At 40.3% G+C, this 19,428-nt stretch overlaps 1 annotated feature.

The window, feature by feature from the left end:
- Positions 14,234-14,283: an enhancer, noted in NCBI's record as "active region_13439". NCBI's record gives its function as "activates an Ori minimal core promoter by ATAC-STARR-seq in GM12878 lymphoblastoid cells {active_cell/tissue: GM12878}" and the evidence as "EXISTENCE:reporter gene assay evidence [ECO:0000049][PMID:35858748]".

Here is a 19,428-nt window from a genome sequence, read left to right as displayed (position 1 = left end):
AGGCAGAATTCTAAACAGGGAGCGCGTGAGGTTCCTTGGACCTGAGCTATTCTCTCTCTCTCCATTCCCAGGGTAAAACCCGTTTTGCCACAAGTCGTTCGGATTTTTAAAATCTCTATTTCATAACACACCAGAACTAAGTTGCTGTTTACTCGTTCCAACAGGACATGGTGTGTATACATCATTCGATTAAGTTATTACTGGGTAAATCAAGAGCATCTGTGTGGGGGAGAAAGGCTGAGATCCTGACTCAGTGATTTGCAGCAGCGCCTAATAATATCTCCACTTGCGCATCTTCACAGAGCCAAGAGGCTGTCCACCAACTGTTTCCTCGCTTTAGCCCTGTGACCACCAAGGCATAGGCTCCAGGGACAGACTGCCTGGATTGGGCTCCAGCCTGGCTGTTTACATGTTGTGCAACCTTGGGTAAAATATTTAACCTCTCTGTGCCTCAGAAGCCTCATTTATAAGACAGGCATTATAACAGAATCTATATCATAGGGGTGTTATAAGGACTGAAGGAATCAATACATGCACAGTGCTTAGAACAATGCCTGGCTCACAGGGAGCACACAGTAGATGTTATCTATTCTTATTCTTATCCCCTTAGCTACCAAAACAGGACTAGAATTGGACTTAAATTTGTCAGTTTCCCATAGACTCAACATTGAATCTTGGCCCCTTCCACGTCCAAGGAACAGGCCCTTGCTTGGGTTCCATCATCGGTGAAGGTCCCATTTGTACATCTTTCCAGTTTGATTCTAGAATGCCTGTAGGCCTGATCAATTCCTTAGACTTTGCTCGTCCCTATCTAGTTAGTAATTAACATATTAGGTTTGGGTGCCTAATATGTTAATTAGGTAGGATTGGGTGCCTGACAGTGAATGACTCTAAGTAATTGTGTGATGTGAATTACACCAGGGGCATTTGTATTCCCAGTTTCCAGAATATTCTAGGCACTCAATAATACTTGGTGGATGAATACGTAATGTTAAGGGCAACAACAGAAAGTACCATCTGGGCTGGGGCATGGTGGCTCATGCCTGTAATCTCAGTACGTTGGGAGGACAAGGCAGGAGGATTGCTTGAGCCCAGGAATTCAAGACCAGCCTGGGCAACATAGTGAGGCTCATCTCTATTTAAAAAGAAAGAAAGAAAGGAAGGAGGGAAGAAAGGAAGAAAGAAAGAAAGAAAGAAAGAAAGAAAGAAAGAAAGAAAGAAAGAAAGAAAGAAAGAAAGAAAGAAAGAAAGAAGGAAAGAAAGAAAGGAAGGAAGGAAGGAAGGAAGGAAGGAAGGAAGGAAAGAAAGGAAGAAAAAGAAAGAAAGAACAATCTGGGCTACTGTAGGGTTATTATTCCATCATGTACATCACACATTAAGAGTCAGCCTTCTACTATGCGTAGTTATAAAATAATCTCACTTAATTTACTAAGTGCCAATCTTAAATCATACTGTAAAGCCGTACACAGTCCTAAAATCACACCAATTAATTCTAGTCAACTGATCAGACACTCTGCTACTTGTTAAACTTCAAAATGTAGTGTTTACTGATTCAGATTAACCATGATTTTTTTAAAAAAACTAAATCTACAGACTTACAAAATTGGCAAATTAGAGGTTATATGATCTACAAAAGCATTTTTCAACTTTAAAGAAAAAGATCCTTAGGAAGTATCTGTAAATTTCAAGTTCCCTATAGATGTTAAAAGTACCATTCAATATACTAAAATGCATGTTCCATGAATACACCTATTTTACAAACATTAATAAATCGAGCTATAAGATATTGCCATTTAAGTCCAAGAACAAATGTAGGTGTTAATATTGAGTACGTAGAACAAGTAAAAGACAAAAATAAATAAATGTATTAGAGATAAAAAGATGGGATTTTAAAAAGAAGGCAGAAAAAAGAAGCATGTCAAAGGAGAACTCAAGCCCAAAGTAATCAAGGCTTGTGGTTTATCCTAAAGGCCACAAAAACAGTTTATTATTTTCATCCCTAGCTTAGAAGGACAAAGACATGCTAGACCCCGCGAGGGTAGACAGCACAATCGTAGCAGGTAGCAAAGAGAAAGAAGCTTCTTAACTCTGGCTGTCAGGGAACAGGTCCAGTGGCCACTCTGGAAGCACCTCAGCCACACTGGGTGAAGCCGATGCCACAGGATTTGGACTTAAAACTCAGCTGCCACTGCTCATGACCACACCAGCTGATTGTCCTGACCTCCATTTTGGGGGTTTTCTTCTGGATCTTCACTGGTAAATGACTCAACCTATGATTCAATCTTTGTCTTTCATTCTTCAACCTGACGTTTGGGCCACTCCAAGACCCAGGATCTCATGTCCCTGAAATCTCCTGGTCAACATGGACCTTTATTAGTCTTCAACTCTCTGGCTCAGTTCTTGATTCTTTCCCCTTATTTTCTGCTTTGATAGAGCTAATAGATTGGAAGAACACAGACATACACACTATGCCTATAGCATATCACGATTACAGCAGAACACTTGATAAAGCCTCTCATTTAAATCCCAGTGGAACAGACTGGAAACTTGCATGCTGCATGGTAACATAATTAGATCACTGTTTCCCGAGTGTGTTTTATGGGACTCCATAAGAAGATATCCTCACATACAGACACATATATACAAAGTAGTCCGCATTCTTAACAAGTCCCTGGGAGCAATAACACAAAGTAGTCCGCATTCTTAACAAGTCCCTGGGAGCAACAATAATAAAGACCCTGAGAGCTTTTTTATTTATTCATTTATTTATTTATTTATTTATTTTATTTCTTTTTTTTTTGAGACAGAGTCTCGCTCTTTTACCAGGCTGAAGTGCAGTGGCGCGATCTCCGCTCACTGCAACCTCCGCCTCCCAGGTTCAGGTGATTCTCCTGCCTCAGCCTCCTGCGTAGCTGGGATTACAGGTGTGCGCCACTACACCCAGCTAATTTTTGTATTTTTAGTAGAGATGGGGTTTCACCATGTTGGCCATGGTGGTCTCAATCTCTTGACCTCATGATCTGCCCGCCTTGGCCTCCCAAAGTGCTGAGATTACGGGCATGAGCCAGCACACCCGGCCAAGAGCTTTTTTAAAAGTAAGTCTTATCAATATTTAGAGGAGCAGTTCCTCTATCAGACACATTCTGAGATAGCCTGAATTTGGGACGATTCATAGATGGTTTAATAACTGTACTCAGAGACTACTGCTCAGTGTCCATTTGTAGAGACATTGCTAGTTCTGTCTAGATCAAAAGGCTTTGCACTTGCCCTAATCAGCTCAATATTTTTTTCCCATCAATGACTTTGAATTAGACATAGAATCTATGTCTTTTAATTGGTGGTAGGAAGACAGTTAGTATAATGAAAGGCAGGGTCAAAATCAAAATAATCTGAATAAAGACTACTCATTGTGCCTTTTTTATTTGACTCGTATACCATCCTGCATTTGTGTTTTAAAAATTAATTGCACAAAAATATAACAGGAGAGAGTTGATCTGGCGATGGTTCACGAATAGCCTGCAAGCACAGCCCGAGCCAATGAAGTGATGCTAATGCAATTCAAAGCCGCAGGCCTAGAAGCTTATTGTCCAGACCACGTCTGGAGTATATATCAAATCCTGGCTACTGCATTTTAAAACAGCCATTATGTGCAGAAGGGGTTGGACAGAGTGAAAGCCACCATCATAGGAAAACTGTCTGAAGGCATTAAATACGCTTGAGTTAGAATAAGAGAAAACTCTAGGAAGACTGTGTGTTGATTTATCTTCAATATGCAAAAGACAATCATGTGGATACTGAGTAAGACTTGATCTATGTGCTCAAAGTCTAGATGGCAGGCCAAAGGGTATAAGTCAAGTTTCCCTTCAATATAATGACTTTTTCTTATGTCATATGGTCCAATAATGGGGATAGGTTGTCCTCATAAGTAGTATGCTCCCCATCATGGAAGATGTTCAAACAGATGCTGAATGCCCAAGTGTTGGGGCTGTTGAAGAAGGGATGACATCAAGCATTCTCCCTGGTTGTTTAAATATTTAACTGCTGTGTAGCCACCTTATTTGGGAGGATGGTCATAGATTACCTAGCCTGTCCTCTCAACCTTCTGCAGAATCTTCTCCCATGCCTAACTCTCTATGACATTTCTGCTTTTAGTCCTCAGTACCATCTGAAAGTGAGGGAGCATCAGGAGCTGCAGCTGTGGAGGCCTCTGAGCTGCTCCAGTGCCTGGGATTGTGTCCAACTCATGCTTTAACATTGCAAAACACCTTGATAGCTTTGCAACAAATTCCTCTCTATGTTCAAACTGACCTGACTCAGTTCTTACTACTGACAAACTAAAGAACTGTAACTGCAACCCCCATCTCGTGCCTTTTAAATATCATCTCACCAGAAGATAGTTCAAGTTCATTTAAGAAGGGATTTGGGTCATCATTTTATAATATTCTTATTTCCCGTCCTTATACCCTGAGTGCCGAAGTCCACGTACATTAAAGCAATCGGAGAGATTCCAATTAGCCTCATAGTCACTCATGCTCAAGTGTAGAGTATCTGGAAGAACCAAAAAAAGGCTGCTGGAACAGAGTTATTTACATTTTAATTAAAAAAAAATACGCATCTGGTGATGCACATTTGACTCATAAGGGAACACTTACGCAAGTACCAGTTTTCCTCTGAAATGTCTCACTAGTGGTGTGAGTTTTATACGATAGTTTCTGGCCTGGAACCAAGAAAATGGCACAGCCTCTAAAAGTTCATTTGTTACACAGCTGGCCTGACAGTTAATTAATGGGCTTTATTAGGCTGGAGGTCGGGAGGCCTCCCTAAGCCAAGTTTAGGACCCAGTTAGGTATCAAGGGTCTGGAGCCCCAGACGAAGCTGAAACATCATGCTGTTAACTCCCCAAACTCTTGGCAACGCACAGCTTTCCTTTTAGAAGGTAATGGTTTCATGTCTCCTGTGAACAAGTCCTGTTAAAGATCAAAGCAATCTTTCGTAATCTCATTTTGATGAGTTAAAGGGAAATGAACCAGAAACATGAAAATTAAATGTCCCTTAAAACTCCTTTTGGGATGTAAATACTAAGAAGAATGCCCCCCTACCCCCGCCAAACCCTATATGGGATTTTATCAGACCCCACCCACGTAGGGGAAACAGAGCAAGGCTTCTGACAAATTGAGACGCATCTGGGTTTGCCTCTACCTAATTGGTCTGTATCATGATCCTGAAAAGGGTCTTGTCATGGAAAGGGCACCCGTGCTGTCCTGGCAGGTGGGGGTGAGGGCAAGGACTGTGCTGTGCTGCTTCCATCCACAGGGCATCATCTCTTCAAAGGGACCAATTGTAACCATCAAAAATGTAGGCTGCTACTTCAGCTTTAAAACACTCACTACATAAATGATGTCTCACGGGGCTCCAGGCTTATAAGTAAAAATGATTTTGTTTATGTGTTAATTTCTCACTAAAAACACAGCTCTCTCAAAGGAGTTTCTATAGCACATATGCCATCAAAGACAAATGCTCATTCAATCTGTCTCTTAAATGTGCAATGACTATCTCTGCATGTAAGAACGTAGAGGGTTTCATCTGTTTTTATTGAAGTGAAATTCACTTAACATAAAATTGTTGGGCACGGTGGCTCACATCTGTAATCCCAGCACTTTGGGAGGCTGAGGCGTGTGGATCACTTGAGGTCAGGAGTTTGAGACCAGCCTGACCAACATGGTAAAATGCTGCCTCTATTAAAAATACAAAATTAGCTGGTTATGGTGGCACATGTTTGTAATCCTAGCTAGTTGGCAGGCTGAGGCAGGAGAATCACTTGAACCAGGGAGGTGGAGGTTGTAGTGAGCTGAGATTGTGCCATTGCACTCCAGCCTGGACAATAAGAACAAAACTCTGTCTCAAAAAACAACAACAACAACAACAACAATAAACATAAAACTAACTATTCTAAAGTGAACAATTCCGTGACATTTTATATGTTCACAATATTGTGCAACCACCGCCTCTGCCTATTTGCAAATCATTTCCATCACCTTAAAAAATAGCCCCGTACCTATCAAGCAGTTGTTCCTCAATCTTTCCTCTCCCCAGCCCCTGGCAACTACTAACCTGCTCTCTGTCTCCATGGATTCACCTCTTCTGGACATATCATATAAATGGAATCCCAGCCAGGCGTGGTGGCTCATGCCTGTAATCCCAGCACTTTGGGAGGCTGAGGTGGGCAGATGACCTGAGGTCAGGAGTTTGAGACCAGCCTGGCCAACATGGTGAAACCCCATCTCCACTAAAAATACAAAAATTAGCCAGGCATGGTGGCACACCCCTGTAATCACAGCTACTCAGGAGGCTGAGGAAGGAGAATCGCTTGAACCTGGGAGGTGGAGGTTGCACTGAGCCGAGATCGTGCCACTGCACACCAGCCTGGGTGACAGAGCAAGACTCTGTCTTAAAATAAATAAATAAATAAATAAATAAATGGAATCCTATAGTATGTGACCTTTGTGCATGGCTTCCTTCACTTAGCATTATGTTTTTGAGGTTTATCCGTATTGTAACATGAATCAGTACTTCATTCCTTTTTATAGCTTAATAATATTCTGTTATATGTCTATGCCACAATTTGTTTATCCATTCATCTATTGATGGACATCTGGGCTGTTTCTGCCTTTTGGCTATTGTGAATAGTGCAGCTATAAACATGTGGGTACATGGATTTGTTTGGTCACCAGTTTTCAATTCTTTTTTTTTTTTTAAGAAATGGGATCTTGCTATGTTGCCCAGGCTGGAGTGCAGGGGCTATTCACAGGAGCAATCATCATTGCCTACTCAGCCTCAAACTCCTGGCTTAAGTGATCCTCCTGCCCCAGTCTTCTGCACAACTGGGACTACAAGCACAGGCTACACGCTCCTGGCTGTTTTCAATTCCTTTGGATATATACCTAGGAGTGGAATTGCTAGAGGGCCATTTGATGATAGAAAGAGCTATAGCTATACTCTGCATGCCTGTTTTTCCCCAACACCATAACACACACATAGGAAGTTAAATAACAATCCCCACAGCTGTGAACCCATTACCAGTTTCATTGAGTAGACATTGAAACTGCTGCCTGGCATTTCAATGTCCTCAGGTCATGGAGGGGATAAGCAAGAAGGGAGGCCCCAGTGATTTCTGGAGAGACTGGCACTATCAAGGGCGCTGGGAGAGCTACACAGTGGGAGCCGGAGCAGTATTCATGGATGCCCAGGGGTACCCCTTAGGATGTCTGTACTGCCTGCTTCATGGTCAAGGTTAACAAAGCACTACACATCAACCCCACATGGGCAGCATCACCAAGGACTCAAACTCCTCAGGACTGAAAACGTAGGTCTCTTTCTCAAGCAAAGAATTTCAACCAACTGAGATGCTGGAAAAAGACAAGGAAAGTTTGGAATAGAATGGACAGTTGGCCAATCAGTCTTATTCCTGCTACCAGCTGCAGCAGAGCAGACTGATATCTTCAGCAGTATTTCTCTGCATGCTGCTTATGTGTAAGAATTTCCTCCCTTTTCTAGTATAAATAGAAGTTACAATTTTTTCAAATGAAAAATCTGACTTCTGAGTGGATCACGTACAGAAACCTTCCTCTTTTCTTCAAACATGGATAAATATATTCATTTATTCACTGATGAACAAATATTTATTATTTGATAAATATGGTTCACTGTGCTGAGGGAATGACAGGGAACAAAACAGGCAAAGTCCTTGCCCTCATAGACACTGCCTTCTGGAAGAGGGAGGGAGACAGAACACAGTAAGTTGATCATATATCAGGTAATGATAAGAGCTAAGCAGAACAATGAAAGAGATTGAGGAGACAGAGCTTTAAGAGAGGGTGGTCAGGCGGGGATGTGCACTCATTTGTCTGAGAAACAGCATGGAACCTGTAAGACTGAGTAGAGTGTGTAACAGGGAGGGTGGTAGGAAATGCGATTAGAGAAGTAGTGATGGCCTGTCTCATGCAGGGCCTGTGGCTGTAGTAAGAATTCCATAAAACTAGTAAAACCTGGATGCCAAAACCAAACAAGGGGAAGATAAGAAAGGAAAATCACAAGCCAATCTCAATCACAGACATTATCAAAGTCTTAACATAATATTAGCAAACGAAATCCAGAGATCTATTTTTAAAAAATCATTTAGGATTTATCCCTAGAATGCAAGGATGGTTCAGGATGAAAAGATAATCAAATGATATTTACCACTTTAAAAGATTAAGAAAGAAGATCATATGATTGTTTCAATAGTTACAGATAAAGCATTTGATAAATTCAACACTAACTCATGATTTAAAAAAAAAAAACAACATAGTAAACTAGGATTAGAAGTGAATAAACTTCCTTAACCTGAGAAAGTATGTACAAAAAACATCCTTACAGAAGAATTGTTGGAAGCATGCCCTATAAAATCAAGAACGGGACAAAGATGTTCACTCTCAGTACTTCCATTCAACATTTTCCTGGAGGCTAGTAAGACAAGAGAAGACATAAAGATTGATGCACTGAATGGATGTGTCTGTGTCTGTATCAGCTTGGCATCATCACCACTTCCTCCTACAGTCTTCTCTGAATTGTGTAAGGTAGAAGCCTGAAACTGCATTTCCCAGCATCCCCTTCTCTGTATTACTCTGTGTTAAAGTTTGCAGTCCCATGAAATCTGATTGGTAGGGGAAGAGTTGAGGCTATCAGTCTCCAAATAAGGATGTAACCAGGTGTTGGGGCAGACCTGATATGCCCAGTGAATACTTGAGAACCACCTGCTTCATTGCTGCATGCTTAGACAGCTGATGGACGCTTCTCAAAGATTCTTAGGATTGCAGCTGTTTCCTGTTAAGAACCACCAATTTGGTGCATTGCAGTAATCTAATTGTACATCCAGTTTGGCATACAATAAGGACAAAAAGAATAGAACAAAATTTTTAAATATTGGTTTTGTTCTTGTGAAACTATTATATGTATTTTGTAGAATGAAACAAATATGTAATTATGCTAATGTCATTAGAAACCAGATTTTCAATGTGAGAGAAAAAGAGATCCAAATACAAACCAAAGAATAAAACCCTGTGATCTTAAATTTAAAATGGAAATTTGAGTATCCTATGATGATTTTTCTCTTTAAAAATTAATTTTTTAGGAAACATAAATGAAAAAATACCTAGAAGTGAAGTCACCTGGAAATAGAATGATCAACCCAGTATCACGGAGTACCCTTAAATATCCATCAGGGAAATGCAAATCAAACCACAACGAAATATCATTTCACAGCCACTAAGATGATTATAGTAAAAAAGACAAATATAGCAAGCATTGGTGAGGATGTTGAAAAATTAGAACCCTCTTACACTGACATGGTACAGTCATTCGGAAACAGTCTTCAGTTCCTCAAAAGCTTAAACATAAAGTTACCAAATGACCTAGCAATTCTACTCCTCATATATACTCACGCCAAATGAATCACATGTCCACAAAAACTTGCACACAAATGTTCATAGCAGCATTATTTATAATAGCCCAAACTGGAAACTACCCAAGTATGCATCAACTGATAACTGAGTAAGTAAAGTTGATTGTGATGATAGGTTGTACAACTGTATTAGTCCGTTTTCACACTGCTGATAAAGACATACCTGAGATGGGGTAACTTATTTAAAAAAAGAGGTTTAATTGACTCAAAATTCAACATAGCTGGGGGGACCTCACAATCATGGCGGAAGGTAAGGAGGAGCAAAGCCATATCTTACATGGTGGCAGGCAAACAGAATGAAAGCCAAGCGAAAAGATGGTTATAAACCATCTGATCTCATGAAACTTATTCACTACCACAAGAACAGTATGGGGAAAACTGCCCCTATGATTCAGTTATCTCCTACTGGGTCCCTCCCACAATACGTGAGAATTATGGGAGCTACAATTCAAGATGAGATATGAGTAGGGACAGCCAAACCATATCAACAACTCTGTGAATATATTAGAAGCCATTGAGTTATACACTTTAAATGGATGAGTTGTATAGGGTGTGAAATATATCTCAATGAAGCTGTTAAAAATAATACAGTATTTTAAAACTGATTATTAATGAAAGCACAGAAAAATACCAAGACTTAGGGTACAGCAATAGTTAAGGGAAATATTTATAGCACTACAAATATTTTTAGAACCATAAGAAAGATGAAATAAATGAACTCATGTCAATTCAAGAAGATAGAAAAAGAACAACGAGTTTAGGCAAAAAAAATGTGATGGAAAGAAATATTAAAGATAAAAACAAAAAAATAAGAAAAGGAAACAAAAGTAAAATAGAAATGACAGAATGAGTCTTAGAAAAGAAAAATAATGCTAATAAAATAAATCCCCATTAAGGCTGATAAATAAAGAAAAATGAACAAATAAACATTAGGAATAGAAAATATAATGTAACCACATATGCAGCAGAAACAAAATCATAAGGGAATCTGTGGCACAATTTTATGTCTATTCTGAAATTGGCTGAATTTTAAAATAGAAAAACTGAATAAAACAATTAGCATTAAAGAAATTGATTTGACAATCAAATATACCTGCCCTCAAGCCACCTCCCCAAAAAGACACTAGTCTTAGCTGATTTCAGCAGTGAATTTCATCAAACCTTTAAGGAAAAGGTCATTGCTATCTTATATAAGCTTCCCAGACAACAGAAAAGGACAGTAGGCCACTGAGTTTAGATAGTGTAGAATTAACACCAAAATGAAACAAGGACAGTACAAGAGACAGAAACTATAGGTTATCTCACTTATAATGTAGATTAAAATTCCTGAATAAATATTAGCAAATGGAATCCAACCAGAGTATTTTTTTTTTAACGATCACAACTAATTTTGATGTTTCCCAGGAAGGTAAGAATGTCAGAAATATCCATCAGGAGAACTTTACAACATTTATAGATCAAAAAGAAATAAAATGACACATTTTATTCTATAAATTCAACACCTTCTCTTATCTAAAAGAAAAACTCTTAGGAAGCTAGAAATGGAAGAGAACTTCCTTAATTTGATGAAGGGTTTTTATCAAAAACCTAAAGCAATCATATCACATCTTTCTGGATTATCCCTATTAAAACCAAGAAAAGGCAAGCAGGGCAGCCATCACCACCCCAGTCAACTTTACACAGAAAATACTAGCGAATGCAGTAAGCAACAAATAAATAAAATGCATAAGGTTTGGAAAGGAAGTGAAAATTTATTATTTTTAGGCATAGAAAATGCATAGATGGGTGGCGCACGGAGACTTATGACTGTAATCCCAGCATTTTGAGAGGGCGAGGCAGGTGGATCACCTGAGGTCGGGAGTTTGAGACCAGCCTGACCAACATGGTGAAACCCCATCTCTACTAAAAATACAAAAAAATTAGCCAGGTGTGGTGGCACGTGTCTGTAACCCCAGCTACTCAGGAGGCTGAGGCAGGAGAATCACTTGAACTGGGAGGCAGAGGTTGCAGTGAGCCAAGATCGAACCATTGCACTCCAGCCTGAGCAACAAGAGCAAAACTCTGTCTCAAAAAAATAAATAAATAAAATAAAATAAGAAAGAAAGAACAAAGAAAATGCATAGATATCAACAGAAAATCTTTTAGAACTAAAAAAGGATTCAGCAAGGCTACTGATTACAAGATCAACATGCAAAATTCAATAACTTTTGAATGTGAACAATAACAAATGGGAAAAAATTGGAAAAAAAAAAAGCCAGCTCACAATAGCAGCAAAACTATAAAGGACCTAAAGAATATACATTACGTACCATTTTTAAGAGCTTTATGGGAAAAAATTATAGTTTTATTAAAGGATATAAAAGAAGATCTGAATAATGGGTAAGAGGTCTCAAAAGCATAAACATGTCAATTCTGCCCAAATTATCTATAAATTTAAGTAAATTCCAAATAAAATCTCAGCAGAACTTTTCTGTTCATTTGTAACGTGATTCTAAAATTCATATGGAAAAGTGAATTATCATTGCCAAGATAATTTCGAAAAATAAGAACAATGGGTGGGCAGGAGCAGTTGGCCTGCGGATTCTGAAACATTCTAGACAGTCACAGAAATTAAAATATAGTTGTCTGAGCAGAGGAAGAGGCAGCGGACAGAATAGAGAGCCTGGTGCAAATCCATGTTCATGCAGGATTCACATGTAGGGGCTACGTGGGATGTGGAATATGATAGCGGTGGCACTAGAGATCAGCAGGGAAAGATGAGCTTGTGCCATCATTGATGATGGAAGCATTGGCTTTTCATATAAAAGACTCCTACACTAATTATACAAAAATTAATTCCAGAAGAATTAAAGACCTCAGCACGAAAAATCGCAACTAAACACTACTGAGACGTGAGACCTCAACCACATCTTGAATGCAAAATTTCATCGAATGTGAATATCATAATTCTATGTATGGAAAATTTTTAAATAAGACAAAGCATAACTGTATGTTGTTCATGAAGATATTTTTTAGTTTAGTTTCTTTTATTTTTATTTTTTTATTTTTAAGTTTGAAGAATATCTTTATGGCCCAAAGTGAATCTGCCAAGCTTTTTAGGCCACCTTGCGTGCATTTTAGTTGTTTCCCCAAGGGAGAATCTGAATCGGTGCCTTCCCTGACTCTTTCCCAGCCAAAATGCGGGCACGTGACCAGGCCTGCCAATCAGACACGGGGGCCTCGGGCCGCGGGAGGGAGCTGGCTGGCTGCGCGTCTCCGGGAGCCGCTGTCATTTCAGTGGCGCATTCTGGGCAAAGGCGGTGTGGTCCCGGGGTGGGCAGCAGATTCCGGAAAGGGTCAGTTGGTTCTGGGAGTGTCCCTTTCATTGTCTCAGGCCTCTTTTCCCATCTGTCCCAAACGTTGTGTGAACTCCCTTCTGTCTCTCCTAAGTTCTTTTCTGCTTAAACTGGTCAGACCGGATTCTACTGCTTACAAATGACAACTGTAACTGACACGCAACCCTGCAGAACAGAAAACATCTTTATAACAAAACATACCCCATCAACGTTAGAGAGGAAAAAACAGGCCTCGAGAAGGTATTTGCAGGATCTATAACAAAGGAATTAATAAAGATATATACTGTATTTATCTTATCAGAGAATTTATCTTTAATGGAGAAAACTCGGATAAATAAAGAACAGAAGCACGCCCATAGGAAAGTGGAGGGAAGGAGAACAGGAAGTCCTCAGAAGCAGAAATCCAAAGGTCTTTATTATATATATTTGTTCTTATTTTTACAATTTACATAAGTAAAATTATGGCATTCATATTCCATACATTCCTTCACACAAGATAAGCGTACGTGAGACCTCAACCACATCTTCAGTGCAAAACTTCATGGAATGTGAATATCATAATTCTACTTATGTAAACATTTTAAATAAGAAAAAGTATAACTGTATGTTGTTTATGAAGTTTTTTTTTTTTTTTTTTTTTTTTTTTTTTTTTTTGAGACGGAGTCTCGCTCTGTCGCCCAGGCTGGAATGCAGTGGCGCGATCTCCGCTCACTGCAAGCTCCGCCTCCCGGGTTCACGCCATTCTCCTGCCTCAGCCTCCCGAGTAGCTGGGACTACAGGCGCCCGCCACCACGCCCGGCTAATTTTTTGTATTTTTAGTAGAGACGGGGTTTCACCATGTTAGCCAGGATGGTCTCGATCTCCTGACCTCGTGATCCGCCCACCTCGGCCTCCCAAAGTGCTGGGATTACAGGTGTGAGCCACCGCGCCCGGCCCCTGAAGATGTTTTTAAACTATTTTTTAAAGTTTGAAGCTGGAAGCACGCACTGCTAAATATGATAGTGCTGCCTTTCCAGCGTAGAGGGCTCAGCAGCCAAGCATCACAATCAAAAGGCTTCCGAGATTTAGTTGTATTTATTTCTGGGGGGGTGGAGAGATAAAGTATTTACAGTTATTAATGGTTTAATATGGATTCTTTCACTCCATTTCCTACACTTACAGAAGAATTACATGAGAGGAAATAATGGTATATTCTATGTGTAAAAATGACAGAGGGAAACTTCATCATAGAGTCCGGAAAAATAAGCTTTTGAAAAAACAAGTACATTTCTGTGGCTTTATTCTCAACTCAATTTTTAATTATGCATGCAATTTACTCCCATGAAATAAAGATAAAAGATCATAATGAGTCATTTATAATAATTTTACGTCTTAAATAAAGTAATGGAGCTTTTCCTTCTAACATGCCATGTTCTTCACAATGATCCTGTACCTCTGTGTAGCCATGACACCAAGCCTCCAAGATCACAACTGTGACACGCACCTGTCATTCACAGGCCAAGCCACAGGATGCCACTGTTGCATTTTTGCTATAATAGACTTTTACTTAAGGTGAATGAAGAAAGAAAAAAAGGAAACTCTATTTTTAATAAACAGACACATGGCAACCATTTAAGATTCAAGATACAACAAACCTTACCTTAGTTATTAGTTATGGCTAATTATTAAAATCCCTTTAAATTGGACTTTGAACATCACATATTGAAGTTGAGATTTCTATGCCAGCCATGTGCAATTGCTACATTTATAGACTCATGACATCTCTTAATATATTACTGACGGCCGGGCGCGGTGGCTCACGCCTGTAATCCCAGCACTTTGGGAGGCCGAGGCGGGTGGATCACGAGGTCAGGAGATCGAGACCATCCTGGCTAACAAGGTGAAACCCCGTCTCTACTAAAAATACAAAAAATTAGCCGGGTGCGGTGGCGGGCGCCTGTAGTCCCAGCTACTCGGGAGGCTGAGGCAGGAGAATGGCGTGAACCCAGGAAGCGGAGCTTGCAGTGAGCCGAGATTGCGCCATTGCAGTCCGCAGTCCGGCCTGGGCAACAGAGCGAGACTCCGTCTCAAAAAAAAAAAAAAAAAAAAAAAAAAAAAAAAATATATATATATATATATATATATATATATTACTGACTTAAAATAACATATTCACTAGTATTTAAGCCTCTCTAAAATTGTTTGTTAATGAGTCAATGTATTTTTGAAATCGAAGTGTTGGGTAAATCAAAGTATCGTTTTCCTTTTACTTACCCAAAGATACTTATTTGCATTCTGATTGAACCACAACTGATAGTTATACTTGGCACTCTCCAATTTCTTTTTTTGTTTGTTTGTTTGTTTTTGTGATGGAGTTTCACTCTTGTTGCCCAGGCTGGAGTGCAATGGCGCTATCTCGGCTCACTGCAACCTCCGCCTCCTGGGTTCAAGCGATTCTCCTGGCTCAGCTTCCGAAGTAACTGGGATTACAGGTGCCCGCCACCACGCCTGGCTAATTTTTTTTTGTATTTTTAGAAGAGATGGGGTTTCACCAGTTGGCCAGGCTCGTCTCGAACCTCTAACCTCAAGTGATCCGCCTGCCTTGGTCTCCCAAAGTGCTGGGATTACAGGCGGCACTTTCCAGTTTCTTTCTGACCCTGTCCCATACTTTCTAGCAAGTAAGTAAAGGTTTACAAATTAACAATTACAGGTCCCCAAAAAGCTTCTATTTAAAGGAGAACATTACTTTTGTCCTGTGAGTAAATAAAATGTATAGGAAGATGTTCCCAAAATATAAAATATTTCTATTAAAAAGTGACCATATTTATGAATGCCTGGTCTATGTATACAGGAAATAAATAAATTGTAGTCTCTCAAAGAGACTGCAGCCTAATTAAGCACATCCCTTTCCTCTGCCAACTCAGTCAGTTTCTGTCTTCTGTGGATTTTCATAGCTCTTTGAATATGTGTTTAGTTATAACCTGCAGAAATTGTTCATTTGTTTATTCATTTCCCTATTCAACAAATACTAGGTGCAGAGAGCAAGACCAACATGACCTGTCCTAGGAGGTTACGGTCTAATAAATGCATTGCAATTACTGCTTACTCATCTTTCTCTTCTACAGGACTGTGAGCTATTCAGTATCCCCAGAATGCCGGGCAGAGCAGACTGCAAAGAAATATTGCTTTGGTGAATGATGTGCCGGGATGAGGTGGAGGCAGGAAGGCCAGAAATGAGCACAGTCATCCAGCCAAACGGTGCTGGGAGCTCAGGACGGAGTGGCAGAGTGGTGTTGGGAAAGAAGGGACATTTAAACAAGATGGAAGAGCAAGAGGACTTGATGCTCCTGCAAGCAGTCCAGGAAAGGTTAGATTGTGTGTTTATTTTCCTCACTAAACCCACAAGATTTATATGTTGAAATTCTAACCCCTAAGGCAATAGGAAGTGGGGCCTTTTGCAGGTGATTATGTCAGATGGAATTAGTGCCCTTATAAAAGACACCCTAGAGAGCTGCCTTGCTCCTTCAACCACAGGAGGACACAGCAAGAAAGTGCCATCTATGAACCAGAAAGTGGGTTCTCACTAGACACCCAGTCTGCCTGGATCTTGAACCTGCCAGCCTCCAGAACCATGAGAAATAAATTTCTATTGTTTATAAGCCACCCAGTCTATTTTGTTATAACAGCCGGAACAGACTGACACCTTGGCACTGGCAATCTTTCTATGTTATAGAATTAACCCAGTGCCAGCCTCATTATTGTGAAATAAGCTGGCCTATTCTGCAGTAGATAGTAATCCAGCAATAAAAGGCAAGCAGCTGAAAAATCAACATGGAGCATTCCTCGGCCCATTCCCTTTGGTGCACTTAGCAAGGACATGAGCAGACGCTGTCAGTTTGAGTCACAAGGCATGTGTCCTGGCTCTTCACGTGCCCCCGAGCACAGGTCTTAGAGTTTGGGGCAACTCTTCGGGGGTCAGTGTGACTCACAGGCATGGAGCATGAGCAAAGTGGTGGGCTGAGTGGTTGGAAGGTAATAAATTCTTAAACTTAACTAAAATAACCCAAGTCTTAATTCAGGATATTGGTTGCCTAAGCAACAGAGAGGTTAAAGCAGCAATAAATTATGGCTAGTCTTATCAAAATAGAGCTCCTACAGGTTTACAACAGGGCCCTGGCACCCTGGTTGTTGGCTGTCAAACACAATTGAGTATGGAGAAATGATCAAGTCTGTATCAAAGGAAAACAGAAAACCACGACCCAGGTACAAGATCCAGAAACACTGAGGTCCTAATCTCAGACAGTTTGGAAAGCAGAAGACCTGCCTCTGAATCTCCGCCCTGGCCTTCACTCACAGTGCGGCCTCACTGGGCTGCCCACCTTATCTCTGTGAACCTCAGACTGTCCTCTCTAAAGAGAGATGTTGTAAGGCTCCCACGAACTCACATTCATGGAAACACTCAAAAAACAGCGAGATGCTTTGCAAAAAAAGGTACTGCTGTCTTTAAAAGATGAAAAACAATGTTAGTTGAGTAAGAGTAACAATAAAGCTATCATATTTTAATAAGAAATACCTATCAGCCAGCAGTTCAGATGAGTGAAATTATCTGAACAAAGAAACCATGTCTATAACAACTTTTAAAAATCATTTTTTGTTAACACTCATACTTGACCTTCAGAGACACTGGAGTTCTGGCTAAGTTAAACATTTTTGCAAGGTCCTATGTGAAGACTTACAGTGGTATAGTCATCCTTCTTAGTCTTATACCAATGTCTGATTAATTTTCCTAGCACACCACACCGCCTCTGTCCAAATGTCTGTCACTCATTCAGTGCCTTGCTTACCCTGTGTTATTTTGTACATTCTCTCTCTTTCAATCTCTCTCTCTCTCTCTCTCTCTGCCTCTGTCTCTCTGTCTCTCTCTCTCTGCCTTTGGTCCCACATAGGAGTTTCCCTCTCCAGCCAGACTGATTTTTCTGCCCCATATGCAATCCTCATTGTCCTTTTCTCCTTGAAGACCCAGGTCAGAGCATCAGCCACCCAGTGATGTCTACCCCATGTATGCTACGCTCACCAAAGGGAGTGTTGTGCTCTTGTTACCTTGCTCTTCATGTTACCTTGCTCTTTGTGTTACCTTGCCCTTTGTGCCTTCAAGTAGACTTCAAGGTTTCTGAGAAAGGACCAGGAGGGGCCTCGCTTACTGCTCTTCAGTCCACGCTACCTGGGACTCAACCTTGTGTAGGTGGGCAGGAGTTGTCTGAAGATAGGGAGGAGGGCAAGAAGACATAAATGACTGTGAGCTCTTATACCTGGGAGAGGCCCCACAGAGCTTCACACAGTGCTGCTCCCCAAACAGTCCTAGAAGAAGAGGCCACTTTCTTTCATCTGGAGGAACTTAGGAACATACAAGTATAGGGTATTTACCAAGTGTGGAGTGAGCACTGGGCTGCCAGTGGGGATCCTAAGTCGGATGAAGAAGGAAGCTGATGTGGCTGCCTTCTCTTCCCTTCTGCAATCCTGACGGACATGGAGGACAGAGACAGGTGTGGAGAAGACCCACACCTACAGGTGTAAGCTCCATTGAAAGGGAGACATGGCACAGAGGAATATATGCCATCCGAATGACATATTCAGTCAGCTGAATATATGAAGAGACATATATTTGAATGACTGATTTCATTCTTCCTCCCATCCCAATGCAATGAGAATTCAAAGAACAACACATATAACCTCTATGTTCCACCAGCAAGTCCACACACAGCACACGCCACATGTGGAGGGGTTTTAGACAGAAGGAAATGTGACTTCTTGTCCTTCCTGCATTTTGCCTTCGTGAATTATGCATTCATCTCTGCCTCCCAGGACACCATTGATAGAAGTCAAATCCATATTAATAATCCTCAAGGCTGAATATTCTCATTTGCCAACGTTTTATTTTTATACAGGTAGAATAAAAACAGTAAAATGCACAGATCTTAAGTGTTTAGTCTAATGAGTTTTGACAATTATATGCCATGTAACCACCACTTCAATCAAAACATAGAACATTTCCATCATTCTGGGAAATTTCCTTCTGCTCCCTCTCAGGTGATCCCACTCTCACCCCGCAGAGCAATCTCTCTGATTTACATCACCACGGTGAAGTTTTGCCTATTTTTGCATTTCATATAAAAGGAATCATATAATTTGCATTCTTTTGGTTCTGGCCTTTTGAGTTCAGCATAATGTTCATCCACATTGTTGCATGAATCAGTAGTTTTTTTTATTATTACTGAGCAGAATTCCATTGTATGAATGTGTCACAATTTACCTAATCTCCTATTGATAAACATTAGGGTTATCTCCAATTTTGTCTATTATGAAAAGAGCTGTTGTTGTGGTCATGTACAAATCCTTATGTGTACATGTGTTTTCAGTTATCTTGGGTAAATATGTAGTGTATTAGTTTGTTTTCATGCTGCTAATAAAGACATACCTGAGACTGGGTAATTTATAAAGGAAAGAGGTTTAATTGACTCACAGTTCAGCATGGCTAGAGAGGTCTCAGGAAACTTACAATCATGGGAGAAGGGGAAGCAAACACGTTCTTCTTCACATGATGGCAGCAAGGAGAAG

This window comes from Homo sapiens, chromosome 18, assembly GCF_000001405.40.
Source record: "Homo sapiens chromosome 18, GRCh38.p14 Primary Assembly".
Lineage (NCBI taxonomy): Eukaryota > Metazoa > Chordata > Mammalia > Primates > Hominidae > Homo > Homo sapiens.
This window is presented reverse-complemented; position numbering and strand designations above follow the sequence as displayed.